This window comes from Homo sapiens, chromosome 14 (genome assembly GCF_000001405.40).
Source record: "Homo sapiens chromosome 14, GRCh38.p14 Primary Assembly".
Taxonomy (NCBI): Eukaryota; Metazoa; Chordata; class Mammalia; order Primates; family Hominidae; genus Homo; species Homo sapiens.
Window position 1 is genome coordinate 48,603,133 of NC_000014.9, and position 20,261 is coordinate 48,623,393.

Here is a 20,261-nt window from a genome sequence, read left to right on the forward strand (position 1 = left end):
TAATCCCAGCTACTCAGGAGGCTGAGGCAGAAGAATCACTTGAACCCAGGAGGCAGAGGTTGCAGTGAGCCGAGATCATGCCACTGCGCTCCAGCCTGGGTGACAGGGCGAGACAAATTTTGATACAAGAAAAGTTACATCTACTTTAATAACCCAACTTATCTCACTCTGGCTCTTACCTGCCAAACAGGGAAAGAGTATCTCCTCCCCTAATCTTTCTTTCTTCGTGTGCACCTTCTCCAGGCATTTGCCTGAGATTCTGACCTGCTTGTACCATCTGTTTGCAAGTGAAGCAGGACTAGACCTGTTCCTCACAAGAATCCTTAAATGAATCCTGAAGTGCAGTTTTCAGCTTGGCCACATTGGAATAGGGCTGCTGTCCATTGCCTTCTCTAATGTATTAATAGTTTAAATAGCCGGGTGCGGTAGCTCACGTCTGTAATCCCAGCATTTTGGGAGGTCGAGGTGGGTGAATCACAAGGTCAAGAGATCAAGACCATCCTGGCCAACATGGTGAAACCCCATCTCTATAAAAATACAAAAATTGGCTCAGCATGGTGGTGTACACCTGTAGTCCCAGCTACTCAGGAAGCTGAGGCAGGAGAATCACTCAAACCCGGAGGTAGAAGTTGCAGTGAGCTGAGATCATGCCACTGTACTCTAGCCTGGTAGCAGAGTGAGACTCCATTAAAAAAACAAAAAAAAACAAAAAAACTTAAGATGATCTTGACTACCTTTCTCGATCCCGTGCCCTACTTATTGCTTCCTGGATGCCAGAGGCTCTGTATTGCTGCTTGTTGAAGCCCAAGTAACCTGTTGAGATGTGGCCTTTATGTAACATTTTCTCTATTTTTTCCCAGGGATCTCCTTTTTATATTACCACTGGGTCAGGCCTTGATTGACTGCCCCAGGCAAATGTGTTTTCTCAGGCACTGATAGAAAATGCTCTTTCTTCAGTATTTCCTTCAGTGTATGATACTGTATGACTCATGTCCTAAGTGCTATATCATTTTGATTTCCTCAGGTAACCAGACCCCTAGACAGGATTCACACATAGAGCCACTCTCCTAAAGCCACTCTATATCCATTCTCTTCTCCTTTTATAACAGACAGCTACCTTTTAATCACTTCATACATTGCCACCAGCTAAACAACTACAGCTCTTTGACTTCTTGCAGCTACGTGTGACCATATGACTATATTTTGATCAGTGATGTATGTGTAGATGTGTTGCAAGAAATTTGTGATGTCTCCTTAAAAGCGAACAAACATATACTTTCTTTCTAATTTCTCCTTCATGCTAAGTAGAATAAAGATATGAAATACGGAGTTTAAGCAACCATCTTAAGCTGCTAAATGAAAATTGCATGTTACGAAGAGAGGGACCAAGAAAGAAGATGCCTGGATCCCTGAGGAGAGTGGACCTCTAGTGTTACAGGGACCTGGAACCAGAGCTAAATGTTTTTGCCCTTTGTTGTTATTTGTTATGCATTACTTTTACTATCCAAATAATAGCAATAATAGTAATTATATATCTTATTTTCTTGGTATTAAAACTGCGGAATATGTACAGCCCCCTTAAATAATCTAAACTCAATTTTTGGAACCTGGGGCAATAATCATGCATAAAGTCATACATGCGTATCTATATACATGCATATGTACCTTCATGTAAATAACTAATTGTGACTGGATTTGCAATCCCCACTAGATTATGGTTTTATTCAGGGCAGAGATTAAGTCATGGTCTCTCTAGTACAATGTGTTTCTAGGGACACAATAAATTCAACTGGAAAACCAGGAGCAACAGAAAATAAAATAACAAAATGTCCCTGAAAGAAGAAAGATGAGCACTGAGAGCCATGTGATTCTGTGAGCAAACGTTACTCAGTGAACAGGGCAGAGAGAGAGCTTTCCCAGCAGCAGCTTTTGTCTACAAATGTTCTCCTATCTTATCCAGTTTCTGAAAGCTGACCTTTTTCTTTCACTCAGGTATTTTTATAAAACAAGTCATCCTGTTCCTTTCTTAAAAATGAATACACACAACAGAAGTAGAGTGAGGTCAAGGACAATTGGCCATGCCAAGCATTTAGAAGACACCCAAGGAATAGGTTTTATGTAGAAATGGATTTCACTTTTCAAGAAAGAAACTGTTACTGAAGAGATAAGTTAAGCCCAGTAGTATGCTGGTAAATGCTTAGCAGCTAGATCTCCAGAAACAAAGAACACACACAGAAAAAACTACCACCACCATCTCACCTCCCAAAAACAAAGTCCAGATTGGTAACACTGGCCAGTTTCTGTGGTGTAAATACTGCTACTGTGGCAAATTTCAACCTACAAACTACTTAACCACTGACTCGTAAAATTCCTGAAAATGTTACAATCTTCTCTTGTCAGCCAGAACAGATAGTTATAGTATATCTTTCTTGCCACACGGAGGAGTGCGGCTTGGACTTCCTACAAATGTCTACAATAAAAAACAAACCTATGTTTTTATTGATTTTAATTTTCAAATATTTCTTAACATCGTACTTCCTTTACAGAGTTATTTAATATCTGAAAACAGTCCCTATACATAAACTCATAAAAGTCAATGTTTAGATAACTGTTCTTGGTTGAAAACACATACAAACTCAGATTTGATCAAGAGGCATCCATAAATCAGCAGCAAGACCAAGAGACAAACCTAGGTTTGTGTGTGCTATCCTCTCAGAGAGCTTCTGTTGCTATTTTAGAAACAGAAGATTTTAGTGTTTCTAATCCAGCAAAAGTTCTACTTAAGCAAGTAAGAGTCCCTATTGATTTAAATCACAGAACAGGTGTTCTGAAGAGATTTCACAAGCCTTTACAGTGTGCATTTACAGTGGCATCACTTATGCCACTCAGGTTCGCATGTCAATTTTACACTGAAATCAACCACAGGTGTGGGTCTGTTTCATATGCTGGCAACTCTCCTCACGGTTGAGGTAACTCATGTCCACCAAAACTTGGAGTCAAACCATGGCAACTCTATTTTCATACTTTAATGCAAGTGATTCATACGCTAGTTCCAAGGAAACTAATAAAGGAAGACAATCAGCCCAAAAGAAAGTGTCAAGTGTGGCAAACAACTAAAACATAATGAATGAGTCTTCATTGTTTTTAATACCTATTTGAAGAGTATCTTATAATCATAAATACAAATTATGCTGTAAAAAATAATCCCAAGAAAAGATAATTGCACCAGATAGGAGTACAATACTTTAGAATTTGCAAAGACCTAACATTTGAATATTATTTATATACATATTTTCTTATATTGATTTTCACAATAATCCTGTAAAATGGATAGGGCAGAAGTGACATCTGCAAAGTGTACTATATATTCTTAAGTATGATATAAAAATATTACAGTTGCAATTATGTGAGGGATACACACTGAAATGTTTCAGGAAAAAACATTCTGAAAGTGATGGATTTCAAGTCATTTATAGGGATGGAAAGACAATGGATTACAATTCAAATTCAAAATTATTTTTATTTTATCCAGAAAATCAATTATGAAGTGTCTACTCATTAAAAAGAAAGAAAGGATGAAAAGAAGAAAGTAAAGAAGGAAGAAATTCAGGTTCCAAGATGGCTGAATAGGAACAGCTCCACTCTGGAGCTCCCAGCGTGAGCAATGCAGAAGATGGGTGACTTCTGCATTTCCAACTGAGGTACCGGGTTCATCTCACTGGGGTTTGTCAGACAGTAGGTGCAGCCCACGAAGCAGGGCAGGGCATCGCCTCACCTGGGAAGCGCAAGGGGTCAGGGAATTCCCTTTCCTAGCAAAGGGAAGGCTTGACAGACAGTACCTGGAAAATTGGGACACTCCCACCCTAACACTGCACTTTTCCAAAGGCCTTAGCAAAGGGCACACCAAGAGATTATATCCCATGCCTGGCTCGGAGGGTCCCACGCCCACGGAGCCTCACTCACTGCTACCACAGAAGTCTGAGATGGAACTGCAAGGCAGCAGCGAGGCTGGAGGAGGGGCATCTGCCATTGCTGAGGCCTGAGTAGGTAAACAAAGTGGCCTGGAAGCTCGAACTCGGTGGAGCCCACTGCAGCTCAAGGAGGCCTGCCTGCATATGTAGACTCCACCTCTGGGGGCAGAGCATAGCTGAACAAAAGGCAGCAGAAACTTCTGCAGACAAAAACGTCCCGGTCTGACAGCTTTGAAGAGAGTAGTGGTTCTCCCAGCACGGAGTTTGAGATCTGAGGACAGACAGACTGCCACTTCAAGTGGGTCCCTGACCCCCAAGTAGCCTAACTGGGAGACACCTCCAAGTAGGGGCCGACTGACACCTCATACAGCCGGGTGCCCCTCTGAGATGAAGCTTACAGAGGAAGGATCAGGCAGCAACATCTGCTGTTCTGCAGTACTTGCTGTTCTGCAGACTCCACTGGTGATACCCAGGCAAACAGGGTCTGGAGTGGACCTCCAGCAAACTCCAACAGACCTGCAGCTGAGGGTCCTGACTGTTAGAAGGAAAACTAACAAACAGAAAGGACATCCACACCAAAACCCCATCCATAGGTCACCATCATCAAAGACCAAAGGTAGATAAAACCACAAAGATGGGGAGAAACCAGAGCAGAAAACCTGAAAATTCTAAAAATCAGAGCATCTCTCAGCCTCCAAAGGAAGGCAGCTCCTCGCCAGCAAAGGAACAAAGCTGGATGGAGAATGACTTTGACGAGGTGAGAGAAGAGGCTTCAGATGATAGCTAATAACAAACTTCTCCGAGCTAAAGGAGGATGTTCAAACCCATCACAAAGAAGCTAAAAACCTTGAAAAAAATTAGAGAAATGGATAACTAGAATAAACAGTGTACAGAAGTCCTTAAATGACCCGATGGAGCTGAAAACCATGGCACAAGAACTACATGATGCATGCACAAGCTTCAGTAGCCAATTTGATCAAGTAGAAGAAACGGTATCAGTGATTGAAGATCAAATGAATTAAATGAAATGAGAAGAGAAGTTTAGAGAAAAAAGAGTAAAAAGAAATGAACAAAGCCTCCAAGAAATTTGGGAGTATGAGAAAAGACCAAATCTACATCTGACTGGTGAACCTGAAAGTGATGGGGAGAATGGAACCAAGTTGGAAAACACTCTGCAGGATATTATCCAGGAGAACTTCCCCAACATAGCAAGGCAGGCCAACATTCAAATTCAGGAAATATAAAGAATGCCACAAAGACACTCGTCGAGAAGAGCAACCCCAAGACACATAATTGTCAGGTTCACCAAAGTTGAAATGAAGGAAAAAATGTTAAGGGCAGCCAGAGAAAAAGGTCAGGTTACCCACAAAGGGAAGCCCATCAGACTAAAAGCTGATCTCTCGGCAGAAACTCTACAAGCCAGAAGAGAGTGGGGGACAATATTCAACATTCTTAAAGAATTTTCAACCCAGAATTTCATATCCAGCCAAACTAACCTTCATAAGTGAAGGAGAACTAAAATCCTTTACAAACCAGCAAATGCTGAGAGATTTTGTCACCACCAGGCCTGCCCTAAAAGAGCTCCTGAGGGAAGCACTGAACATGGAAAGGAACAACCAGTACTAGCCACTGCAAAAACATGCCAAATAAGACCATCGATACTAGGAAGAAATTGCATCAACTAATGAGCAAAATAACCAGCTAACTTCATAATGACAGGATCAAATTCACACATAACAATATTAACTTTAAATGTAAATGGGCTAAATGCTCCAATTAAAAGACACAGACTGGCTAATTGGATAAAGAGCCAAGATCCATCACTGTGCTGTATTCAGGAGACCCATCACACATGCAGAGACACACATAGGCTCAAAATAAAGGGACGGAGGAAGATCTACCAAGCAAATGGAAAACAAAAAAAAGCAGGGGTTGCAATCCTAGTCTCTCATAAAACAGACTTTAAACCAACAAAGATCAAAAGAGACAAAGAAGACCATTACATAATGGTAAAGGGATCAATTCAACAAGAAGAGCTAACTATCCTAAATATATATGCACCCCATACAGGAGCACCCAGATTCATAAAGCAAGTCCTCAGAGACCTACAAAGAGACTTAGAGGCCCACACAATAATCATGGGAGACTTTAACACCCCATTGTCAACATTAGACAGATCAACGAGACAGAAAGTTAACAAGGATATCCAGGAATTGAACTCAGCTCTGCACCAAACAGACCTAATAGACATCTACAGAACTCTCCACCCCAAATCAATAGAATACACATTCTTCTCAGCACCACATCACACTTATTCCAAAATTGACCACATAGTTGGAAGTAAAGCACTCCTCAGCAAATGTAAAAGAATAGAAATTATAACAAACTGTGTCAGACCACAGTGCAACCAAACTAGAATTCAGGATTAAGACACTCACTCAAAACCACTCAACTACATGGAAACTGAACAACCTGCTCCTGAATGACTACTGGGTACATAACGAAATGAAGGCAGAAATAAAGATGTTCTTTGAAACCAATAAGAACAAAGACACAACGTACCAGAATCTCTGGGACACATTTAAAGCAGTGTGTAGAGGGAAATTTATAGCACTAAATGCCCACAAAAGAAAGCAGGAAAGATTTAAAATTGACACATTCACATCACAATTAAAAGAAACAGAGAAGCAAGAGCAAATACATTCAAAAGCTAGCAGAAGACAAGAAATAACTAAGATCAGAACAGAACTGAAGGACATAGAGACACAAAAACCCTTCAAAAAATCAGTGAATCCAGGAGCTGGTTTTTTGAAAAGATCAACAAAATTGATAGACCGCTAGCAAGACTGATAAAGAAAAAAAGAGAGAAGTATCAAATAGATGCAATAAAAAAATGATAAAGGGGATATCACCACCAATCCCACAGAAATAAAAACTACCATCAGAGAATACTATAAACATCTCTACATAAATAAACTAGAAAATCTAGAAGAAATGGATAAATTCCTGGACACTTACACCTCCCCAACACTAAACCAGGAAGAAGTTGAATCTCTGAATAGACCAATAACAGGATCTGAAACTGAAGCAATAATTAATAGCCTCCCAAACAAAAAAAGTTCAGGACCAGACAGATTCACAGCCGAATTCTACCAGAGGTAAAAAGAGGAGCTGGTACTATTCCTTCTGAAACTATTCCAATAAATAGAAAGAGAGGAAATCCTCCCTAACTCATTTTATGAGGCCAGCATCATCCTGATACCAAAGCCTGGCAGAGACACAACAAAAAAAAGAGAATTTTAGACCAATATCCCTGATGAACATCAATGCAAAAATCCTCAATAAACTACTGGCAAACTGAATCCAGCAGCACATCAAAAAGCTTATCCACCACGATCAAGTTTGCTTCATTCCTGGGATGCAAGGCTGGCTCAACATATCAATAAATGTAATCCATCATATAAACAGAACCAAAGACAAAAACTACATGATTTTCTCAATAGATGCAGAAAAGATCTTCTACAAAATTCAACAGCCCTTCATGCTAAAAACTCTCAATAAATTAGGTATTGATGGGATGTATCTCAAAATAATAAGAGCTATTTATGGCAAACCCACAGCCAATATTATACTGAATGGGCAAAAACTGGAAGCATTCCCTTTGAAAACTGGCACAAGACCCAGATGCCCTCTCTCACCACTCCTATTCAACATAGTGTTGGAAGTTCTGGCCAGGGCAATCAGGCAGGAGAAGGAAATAAAGGGTATTCAATTGGGAAAGGAGGAAGTCAAATTGTCCCTGTTTGCAGATGACATGATTGTATAGCTAGAAAACCCCATTGTCTCAGCCCAAAATCTCCTTAAGCTGATAGGCAACTTCAGCAAAGTCTCAGGATACAAAATCAATGTGCAAAAATCACAAGCATTCCTATTCACCAATAACAGACAAATAGCCAAATCATGAGTGAACTCCCATTCACAATTGCTTCAAAGAGAATAAAATACCTAGGAATCCAACTTACAAGGGATGTGAAGGACTTCTTCAAGGAAAACTACAAACCACTGCTCAACGAAATACAAGAGGATACAAACAAACGAAAGAACATTCCATGCTCATGGATAGGAAGAATCAATATCATTAAAATGGCCATAGTTCCCAAGGTAATTTATAGATTCAATGCCATCCCCATCAAGCTACAGTGACTTTCTTCACAAAATTGGAAAAAACTACTTTAAAGTTCTTATGGAAACAAAAAAAAAGCCCACATTGCCAAGACAATCCTAAGCCAAAAGAACAAAGCTGGAGGCATCACGACCTGACTTCAAACTGTACTACAAGGCTACAGTAACCAAAACAGCATGGTACTGGTACCAAAACAGAGATATAGATCAATGGAACAGAATAGGGCCCTCAGCAATAATACCACACATCTACAACCATCTGATCCTTGACAAAGGTGACAAAACCAAGAAATGGGGAAAAGATTCCCTATTTAATAAATGGTGCTGGGAAAACTGGCTAGCCATATGTAGAAAGCTGAAACTGGATCTCTTCCTTACACCTTATACAAAAACTAATTCAAGACGGATTAAACACTTAAATGTTAGACCGAAAACCACAAAAACCCTAGAAGAAAACCTAGGCAATACCATTCAGGACATAGGCATGGGCAAGGACTTCATGTCTAAAACACCAAAAGCAATGTCAACAAAAGCCAAAATTGACAAATAGGATCTAATTAAACAAAAGAACTTCTGCACAGTAAAAGAAACTACCATCAGAGTGAACAGGCAACCTACAAAATGGGAGAAAATTTTTACAATCTACCCATCTGACAAAGGGCTAATATCCACAATCTACAAAGAATTCAAACAAATTTACAAGAAAAAAACAAACAACCCTATCAAAAAGTGGGCGAAGGATATGAACAGACACTTGTCAAAAGAAGACATGTATGCAACCAACAGACAATGAAAAAATGCTCATCATCACTGGCCATCAGAGAAATGCAAGTCAAAACCACAATGAGATACCATCTCACACCAGTTAGAATGGCGATCATTAAAATTCAGGAAACAACAGGTACTGGAGACGATGTGGAGAAATAGGAATGCCTTTACACTGTTGGTGGGACTCTAAACTAGTTCAACCATTGTGGAAGACAGTGTGGTGATCCCTCAAGGATCTAGAACTAGAAATACCATTTGACCCAGCCATCCCATTCCTGGGCATATACCCAAAGGATTATAAATCATGCTGCTATAAAGACACATGCACGTGTATGTTTATTGCAGCACTATTCACAACAGCAAAGATTTGGAACCAATCCAAATGTCCATCAATGATAGACTGAATTAAGAAAATGTGGCACATATACACCATGGAATACTATGCAGCCATAAAAAATGATGAGTTCATGTCCTTTGTAGGGACATGGATGAAGCTGGAAACCATCATTCTGAGCAAACTACCATGAGGACAGAAAACCAAACACCGCATGTTCTCACTCATAGGTGGGAATTGAACAATAAGAACACATGGATACAGGGTAGGGAACATCACACACCAGGATCTCTTGTGGGGTGGGGGGAGTGGGGAAGGATACCATTAGGAGATATACCTAAAGCAAATGACAAGTTAAGGGATGCAGCACACCAACATGGCACATGTATACATATGTAACAAACCTGAATGCTGTGTACATGTACCCTAGAACTGAAAGTATAATAATTACAAACAAAAAAGAAGGAAGAAATTGAAGAAGAAAGAAGGGAGAGAGAAGAAAATTACACATAAAAAATTAAAAAATGTTTATACACAAGGAGAAGGATGTAGCCAACATTTTTATTATTGCTCTATTTCCCTTGAAATATCTACTCCCAGGCCTTTTGTGGTGGCTCACACCTGTAATCCCACAACTTTGGGAGGCTGAGGTGGGCAGATCACCTGAGGTCAGGAGTTAGAGGCCAGCCTGGCCAACATAGTATAATTCCATCTCTATTAAAATACAAAAATTAGCCGGGCATGGTGGTGTGTGTCTGTAATCTCAGCTACTTGGGAGGCTGAGGCAGGAGAATCGCTTGAACCCTTGAGGCGGAAGTTGCAGTTAGCTGAGATTGTGCCATTGTACTCCAGCCTGGGCAGCAAGAGTAAAATTCCATCTGGAAAGAAAGGAAATATCTACTCCTAAATCTCATTACTAGTAAAAGTATTTTGTAAGCCTTATTTGGAAAGGAAGATAAAAGATGCTGGTCTACAAACAAATATATATTGAGCCCCAGATTGGGTACTGCTTTAGGCCTGAACATGGTTTTTTCTCACTTGTGGACATGGTATTCCACCTAGTGTTTGCCAGAACAAGCTGCTAAGTGAATTAGGAAAGACAGTGAATATCAGTTGCAATATTTAACAGGTGAGATTCATTTAGGACAGTTCAAGCCTGAGGTTTTTTAGCGAATAAAGAGCCTGAGTTTCAGCATGAAAAACAGAGGACAGCTTTTCAAACAATGTGTAAATTAGTCTACCCCCTCACCAGAAATGTAGGAAACATATTTTTTCATTTCAAGATCATATATGTTTGCATACAATTCAGAGACATTTCCACAAGCTTCCACATAGTAAATAAAACTCGAATTTTTTAAGGTTTGAATTTTATTTTGTTCTTTTTCTGAACCTTCCAATCTAAATATAGAGTAAGCAGTTCCTAGAATTTGCTGAACAAAAAATTGAAATTAATTGGCACACAAAATTTAGCTGATTTCATTACATCATATGGCTTGATTTTTTAATTTATGCTATCTAGACATGGGAGTAAATTTCTCAGGCTATCTATGATTAACTAAATTTCTATTTGATTCATGACCTGCCAAGTGTAGATGTTTAAGTCAGCTAACTAGTGGATACATCTTACCAAGTTAGTTTTCCTCTCTTAAAAGCTTGGTTGAAATTTTAGCATTTTAATACAGAATAAGGCTTACAGGAGCCCTGGTCACAAAAAGTAATCAGAATATTCTAGATGAATTATAGATTTTGAGATGTTTTGTTTGGAAAGTTCACAAGCCACACATTCCATCTCTCTCTATCAGGGCATGAAAGAATTTATTGAGCAGCGTTCTTTGTACAATTGAATCACTCACTCCTCAGAAGCTTTCTTTGAAATCCACTCATATAATAACTGTCAGAAATTATCTTCCATAACATTTGAAAAATTTAGTACAGATGCATGAATTTTTCGCAATTTACAGAGAGGACAGGAAGTTTTACAGAAAACATTTTAATTAGCACTATACATAATTAACAGTAATAAAATATAAGTTCAATATATTTTCTATAGTGTTATGGACTTTGATACTCTGATAGCTTTCATTTGTCTTTTTTTTCTGTACCATGTATCTTTATCAACTATTCTATATTTACTCACATCTCAAAATTTTTTCAAGGATCAGAGCAAATTTCGAGGGATGAATTGGCTGCTCAATAGCTACTAATAAAAGACTAACTGGTCACAATTGAACCCTGTCACTTACTTCACAGTTTCTATTAATTTTAAATATTTTAATAAATATAAATTTTTTTAAAAAAAATTTAAATGTTTTAATAAATATTAAACATACATATTTCTCTTTATGAAATAATAACTGGGCACAAACCTAATCCCAATTTCTGACAATTTCAAATGTCTTTAAAATTTTCTGAAGAAATATGCAGTTCCAACTGGAAATAAGTAACAAGATTTTTCCAGAAAAAATAAAACTTTATGTATACACTTTATGAAATAGTATGCATATGAATGAGTTTTCAAAGTATTCGCTCCTTTCTCTGGAAGATACAGGAAAAAGTCAAACCCATACTGATAGGTGAAGTCGGCTGGGCTTCTGGGTCGGGTGGGGACTTGGGGAACTTTTCTGTCTAGCTAAAGGATTGAAAATGCACCAATCAGTGCCGTGTGTCTAGCTAAAGGTTTGTAAACGCACCAATCAGCACGCTGTAAAAACGGACCAATCAGCACTCTGTAAAATGGACCAATCAGCTCTCTGTAAATTGGAAAAATCAGCAGGATGTGGGTGGGCCAAATAACGGAATAAAGGCTGGCCACCTGAGCAAGCAGTGGCAACCACTGAGGTCTGGAAGCTTGTTCTTTTGCTCTTCCCAATAAATCTTGCTGCTGCTCACTCTTTGGGTCCGCACTACCTTTATGAGCTATAACACTCACCGCGAAGGTCTGCACCTTCACTCCTGAAGCCAGTGAGACCAGGAGCCCACCAGGAAGAAAAAACAACTCTGGATTCGCCACCTTTAAGAGCTGTAACACTCACTGCAAAGGTCTGCGGCTTCACTCCTGAAGTCAGCAAGACCATGAACCCGCCAGAAGGAATAAACTCTGGGCACATCTGAACATCTGAAGGAACAAACTCCGGACACACCGTCTTTGAGAACTGTAACACTCACCGTGAGGGTCTGCGACTTCATTCTTGAAGTCAGCGAGACCAAGAACCCACCGGAAGGAACAAATTCCAGACACGATACTAAATATTTTTAATTTTCAGTTTTCAGGAATGTGCCAAGAAAATTAAAAATATTTCTTTTTGTTTTCATGAAATATATATGCATTCTTTACTGGCAGTACAACCTATGATTAATGGTACAATTGTAGAAGGATATGAAGTTTTGCACAATAACATAATGAGTAGTTTGATGTAGATGATTAATGAGAGATTTCTCCTGTCATGCTCTAAAGATAAATTTCATTAAAAGGAAATATTTGATGCATTATATATTTAGTTGTCTCAATTTTCAAAAGTATGTGGCTATGTGTAAATCAGTCAGATATTTCAGTGTCTGGCATTTTGCTGTAATCAACCTCTTAGTTTTTGTTATCTCCTAGGTCTTAAAATGTCACATTGAATGGCAACAATGTCAAAATCATCTCTGTAACACCTATATCACAAAGCACAAAAAAGTAAAGTTTCAGAACTAAAAGGCCAGTCTCTGCTTTCAACATATCACAGATGAATCCATGATTAGGAAATGAAGAATAAAGAGACTCCTGTAATTTGTCCAGTGTGTTTTCTTCAACAGTGTAACCCATTCCTTCCGGAGTCATACATCAGATGCATGAGGAAAAAATCCTTATTAAATTGTCAGTAATCAGTGTTACAGTCTAACTTTCCATATTTTATGGATAAAATTCCCTTTTATTCTTGCAGCTGGTGGTAAATGCCCCGTCAACCAAGGAGTCAAGGAAGAGAATGATGAATCCTGCTTACTAAAGCTATTAGTCTGAATGTTTTTCTCTAATTCTCCAAAAAAATCTAAAATTTAAGATAAGGATAGATAAGAAATTTCAGATATTAGTCTTTCATTCTGTCTGAGAGGTTTGAAGACTTGAATTAAAAGGATCTTATCTGCAAGCAAAATACCACATGTCAGAATATCAAATGGCTCAAACCTAATTTTCATCTTTTTATGAATGTGTGAAATATCTTAATGGGATTTCCACCAGTTAATTCAAGAAGACACTTCACCATACAGCTAAAGATTTAAATATTTTACTTTCATTATAGCATATACATAGGCCTGACAGGAAACTCTGTAAGCTTTGTAGTGTTCAGCAAACACTAGACATGCAAAACAAGTAATATTTTGCACAAGCTTGGGATTAGGTTTTAGCTAAAATGAACATGTGACTTCTGGTCTTTCCTCAGATATCATTTGGTTCATTTTTAAGAAAGAGAATGGAATAATGTAAGTTGAAGACGTGTAATCCCCACAAAGTGGAAAATATATATTGTATACACACACATACATACAAACACATGCACACACATACGAATTAGCATTTGGAATTTTAAACTTTATTTTTATTTTTAATTTTGGACCGTTATTTATTGGTCATTCTCAGCAATCACAATTAAAAAGCATGTTTAAGTCGTCTCATAAGCTGTTTCTACTCTATTTAATTTGTGCAATTGACAAAAACATGCTCTCTCTCCCGCTGGGAAAATTGCTTGTCAGGAAGAATGCAGGCTGGGTTTCAGTCTCCAGCTGCTTTTTTGGGCAAGTTTCTTTGTGCAGTGCACGACTGAAAAACTGTATGTGGCAACCTGGCCATCACTAAAGTGGAAGCAAGGAGTAGACAAAGATCAAGAGAGAAAGGCTTTTGATATAAGAATTAGAGAATGAGACAAAAAAGTAATTTTACTCAATCACGAAGGGCTTATCTAATTAAGCAGAGGCTGATTGAGTTCTAGACAAAAGAAAGAACAGTAATAAATAGATATTACACCAGTTAAAGTGCATTTACAGAATTGGAGTAGGCCTATCAGCCCACAGCCTCACAGGACATATAGTAATCACTTCTTCTTTGTGGTTACTTTAAACGTTGATGAAAGATTCTTGGGCAGTGTGATAGGAGGGCTTCATAAAATGCTATCTCAAGATGCTCTAGATCAAGCATTTAATTACCCTCTACTTGGATTTAGAAATTCAATGGAATATTAAAAAATATGTAGCTTCTGGTATTTCTTGTCACTCCCTAAAAACTTTCAAATGTGTTTCCCATATAAGGTATTTTCTGCCGATTATCAACAAATTCTTTCATATAGTAACATTATTCTGTCTCCCAGGTGCATATTTTTTTAACCCAAATTCCAGTCTAACATGTGCCCCTGGGCAGCTCAAGTGGCACTGGAGATCCGAGAATCAACATAAACACAGATATCACAAGGGACAAAAGGACCCGTTAACACCCCACCACATGGAAGTAAACCCCAAAGCCAGTGCAAGTCTGTGTGTGTGTATACACCTATATATATATATATATATATATATATATATATATATATATATATATATACATATAAATATTTTTCTATAAGATTCTTTCAAGGAAAGGAGTATGTCAAATATTACAGAAAACATTATAGAAATCTCATTGAAATGATAGTATAGTATATTTTGGAAATGTAAAACATTTTTTATTTCCCAAGAAAATTCTAAAATGTTTATTTGATTTATAAAATGGGGACTTCACTCACCAGTTTAAGTGATGAGAACATTCTCTTTATATGTCAAAAACCCAGTAATCCACAGGAAGTTCCAACTTCCTTGGAAAGCAATATAAATTACAGAGTTCTTCACAAAGTGCTGCCAGCATGGAGCTGCTTAGTTTCAACTCAGGCTAGAAAACAAATGAAGCACTTGCTGTTTTACTCGTCTTCCTTGTTACTCAAAAAATACACTTGTGAATTGCTCAGTATCTAACAAGGCTTAGGGAAAGAGATCTGTTAGCAGTGAATTACCTGTTACTGGTTTTTACCTATAGAAAGTAGAAAATATGCTTGTTTTCTTTATGCATGAGTACTAACATCTGTTTAATCATGGTGTGATATAACTCAACAATGTCATTCCTACTGTTTTCATTATCACCAATAAATAAACTCTGGTGAACTATATTAATCCAATCACCAGACATTTCTGTATAGATGAAGAATGTCATGATCATTGCACTCAGTGGTTCAATTATATCAGATAACTACAGAAGACTAAGTAAAATCAAAATAATATATCGACATACTCAAAATTATTATTTAATTATCATTTCAGAATTCCCAATCTAATTCTAATTTTCCTGACAACCTATAATCGACGTAAAATTAAGGCAAGAAGAGAAAAACCCACAAGCTTAGAAAGAACAGACACTCTCATTATAATTTGGTGACTCCTTTCATTACATAAGGTAAAACAAACTGCAAGAAGATAAATTATTGTTCCGATAATTTTATTATCAAAATCATAAAAGTTTCCTGCATTTTAAATTTATCTGTCTTATTTCTTCTCTCATCCTATACCCTAAGCCTTTAGTAATGTGTAATACCCTGCGTAGTTATGTTATTAGCTAAATGTAGTTGACCATTATTTCAGGAGCTCTGCACTTGAAGACTGAAAACTTCTGTTTTTCTCCCTTAGTAAATACTGGATCCACATTTTTAAAAACCTATTCCAATTATATATTCCAAATTAACACGCCAATTATCTTTTATAAAATAGCTTAATAAGTCTGAAATTAAATGTATTTGCCAGTTGTTGATTATAATTTTATATGCCAAATGGTTAGGTATAGGCTCTAGGCTTAAGGGAGATTGTTACTATGACTTCATGAATTAATAAAGTGAATTAAAGCAATTATCCATGCTATTATGGCAAAAATAAAATTATAAGATATGAGATAATGTCTAGTACAAAGAGCAAAAGACTAAGAATTTAAAAACTTAGATCTACACATTACTAAACAATTGAGTGACTTTGGGCAAGCTATTCGAGTGCTCATAGGTCCCACATTCTTCAGGTAATTCCTAGGTGTAAGAGTTAGGCTAAAATCTGTAATATGTCTTCAAACTCCAGATTTTACTGATTTATGTATTATATGACAAATATTTCCAAGTCTGTTTCATTTAGGTAGATGATATAGTTCATAGCTTAACTGCATACTTTATAAAAAACTGTTTCACTATATGATGACTGAGTGGTGGTTATATAAAAGAAAAACGTTGGACCATATTAGATATATAAGAGGCATCTACCTCTTTTAATTCATTCACCTACTAAAGCTAGACAGACAATATCCAATGATCAATATATCTGTGGTTAGTATGATGGGCATACTTATACAAGCGGGAATTCACATTCATTTTCCTAACCTGAGCTGACTTGAAATTAAAGAATTACATTGTTATATGCTATTTAGCATAATAATTTAATAATTTAGAAATTCATAATGTGAGTATATTTTGAACTCATGGAATCAGTGTCCCAGTAAACTTAATTACTTGAAATATTCTTAGGAGTTCATAAAAAATAAAAAGTGAGGAGGAAAAACTCTTACAATAACGATCCATCGTTTTTCTTGGGATAACGGCAGCATCAAGCAAAGTCCAGAAATCATTGACTCAACAATATGTATTATTCATGATTTTTTTCAAGCATTCAATATTTTTATTAACTGCCTAATAACTTTAGTAGTTTATTGAGTTGCATGAACTTAACCTTTATGGAAATTATATTATAGAGGAAAAGAAGAAAACATTATCAGGCAATTATTTAGATAAAACTGATAATTGCCATGAAAGAAAACATAAAAGTATTTGATTTAGAGTAGGGATTTGTCCTAGTTCATCTATGTTGTTATAGCTGAATACTTGAGACTGGCTAATTTATAAAGAAACTACATTTATTTCTCACACTTCTGAAGGCTTGGAGTTTGAGATCAAGGAACCAGCAGGTTCAGTGTCTGGTGACGGCCCATCTCCACTTCTAAGATGGTGCCTTGTTGCTGCATCCTGGGGAGGACCAGAACTCTGTGCTCTCACACTGCAGAAGAGCAGGCCAAAATAGACCACACTCCCTCTTCAAGCCCTTTTATAATCATTAATCCATTAATGAGCGCAGTCTTGACCTAAACACCTCCTGAAAAGCTTCACCTCCCAACACTATTGCATTGGGGATTATATTTCCAACACATGAATTTTATGGGAAACATTCACATGATATCAGGATTTTAAAACAATGATGAGAAAATGATATTGAGGTGAGATCTGAAGGATAAGCACAAGTTAACTAAGCCAATAGTTACAGGGCAGGGAAAAAGAGGCTTAGGAAACAGCCTTTTCAAACCTACTTCCTGAAGCTGCAGGAAATATGGTAAACTTGAACAAGGTAAGTACACCAATACTGCTGAAGAAATTAAAACGAGATTGTGACCAGAACAAAATAAGGCTTGAGGAGTAACTTGGAGCCTTATAAGCCGTGTGAGCAGTTTTGTCTTTAATTTCAAGAACAATAGAAAACCTTTGAAAAATGCTTGAAAAGGAGTATATTTCTGGAGAAAGTGATGAATTTACCTTTGGAATATGTTGTGTCTAATCTACATTTTGACTTACAAGTAAAGATGTCAAATGGACAATTAGAAACTGTTCATTTAAATGTATTTTCTGTTTTCTTAAGACAAAACAGTTTTAGAAGTGGAAAAGGTAAACTTCCAGAAAGTAGAATATAAATAAATTCATGTTACGTGAAACAATAAAATACTGTATGGGTAAGAATTTAATACTCATATGTTTATTAAAATAATCCATAAATAAAGCAATCGGTGTTGATCATAATATGTAAACTTATATTATCTCCAGGTGATCCTAAAAGGTTTGCCCTGAGGCTGAACTTTTTTCTTAAGGACATATTACCTATGTCTTAACAAATATTACCATGCTTTAATCTAAACTAGAAATATTTCAGCCCTGTTTTATACTTAAGTATAAGTACTTTTTAAAGTGTAAGTACTTGATTTTTTATTTTCTTTTACATTTGAAAAATAATAAGAGCTATTCAACATAAGATGCATGGTATGCATAAAAAGTTAAATGACATTTTGACTTTCATCCTTTTTTTCCAATAAAATGAGAAACTCCAACATCAAAGGATTGGAGCAAATATAACTAAAATGATAATTAGCAAGTAAGTTAAAGAGAATTAATAATCCATGAGTAATTTGGGTCAGGAATTCTTAGCGTCGTCTTTTTAGGAATTATCCTGCTTATAACAGGTCCAAGAGTTTGCATGTTTGGAGAGATAACAGGATAGAAATTCACAGAAAAATAAATCTAGCTGATATTACAAATACAGCACCGATTTAAAAAAATGACTTTTTCTCCGTCACAGATTTTCATGTAAAACCTCAAGAACTGAGGCTTCTCCAGGTATTTTACATAACAGTGACCATGTAACTATAGACTGCTAAGAGTTGCCCATAGTTTAATGGATCATAGTTGCTGGTTTCCTTTTGGAAGAATTTCCTTACCCACACGTGGCAAATGTGGTTACAGATGGTGTCAGACTAGGTTTCCAAATGGAATCAGAAGCCAACTGAAATATAAATAATACTTATAAAATGATATTGGGGTTCTTTTTTTTTTTTTTTTTTTGAGATGTAGTCTCGCTCTGTTGCCCAGGCTGGAGTGCAGTGGCACGATCTCCGCTCACTGCAAACTCCACCTCCTGGGTTCACGCCATTCTCCTGCCTCAGCCTCCTGAGTAGCTGGGACTACAGGCGCCTGCCATCACGCCCGGCTAATTTTGTTTTTGTATTTTTAGTAGAGACGGGGTTTCACCATGTTAGCCAGGATGGTCTCAATCTCCTGACCTACTGATCCGCCCACCTCGGCCTCCCAAAGTGCTGGGATTACAAGTGTGAGCCACCACACCTGGCCCGTGGTTCTTTTCTTTATGGGTCTCTCTATCAAGGATTCCCTAAATAATTATACATTGAGCTTTGTCTTCCTTTGGTAAAGACAACGTCTATGTTCCAACACACACACGAACACACTCAACAGTTTCTCGGTGTTCTGTAGATAAAAACTAAGAAAGGACATTCTGATGAGGGGAGAATACAGAACAGGCTTAAGAGAAGCATGGGCTGTCAAAGGCCCTTAGACTACTTTGCTATTAAGCTCATGAGAGAGAGAGAATCTGTGAACAACACAGTTTGCTGCTCAGGATTCCACAAGAATAAACAAGTCACCTTTGTTCCCATTCTACTGCTGCACAGAATCCATCACTAACTTTAACTTCCTCACTTCCTCCCCAGTTAGAAATTTTATAAACATCTGGAGACGTAGTACCCTTGGCATTGACATCAGCATTTTCATTCTAGGTGATGGCAACACTAAAACTTCTTCAATGGAAATTTCATGAAACAGTGGCTTGGACAAGTAGAGTCACACAGCAGAAACAAAGCTGACAGTTTTCACACATAAGGAATCTTCAGGGACTCCCCAAAATAAATGAGGATATTTTTATGTTTGGAGGGCAGAGGTACTGAGGCTCTTCCTATATGAAGGTAGAGGTCATTCACCCAGTAAACATTTGGGTTACAAGTAATTATTCTCAGAAAAATATTAAATACCCATAACATCTCAGGCTTTACCAGCCCTCTCAGATAAATGTGGCCACTATCACAAAATACCAACCCGAGTATGTTAGCTACATTCAGTCCTTTCCAGGATATTTTTGTTTTGTTTTGTTTTCCTGTATTACTCATTATGAGCCACACAGGGAGGATTCTTTCTCTTTCTGTTGTCTTGGGTTGGGTTAGCCAGGGTTCTCCAGAGAAACAGAACCATTAGGATGGAGATATAGCTATCTATCTTTATCTATCTATCTATATATCTATCTATCATCTATCTATCAATTATCTATCTATCTATCTATCTATCTATCTATCTATCTATCTATCTAGA

At 37.3% G+C, this 20,261-nt stretch overlaps 1 long non-coding RNA gene across 1 annotated transcript in view; it reads right to left on the minus strand.

Annotated features, from left to right (window-relative positions):
• The window catches only part of LOC105378178 (uncharacterized), an 894,025-nt gene that overhangs the window by 209,134 nt on the left and 664,630 nt on the right, over positions 1-20,261 (minus strand). The window lies entirely within an intron of this gene.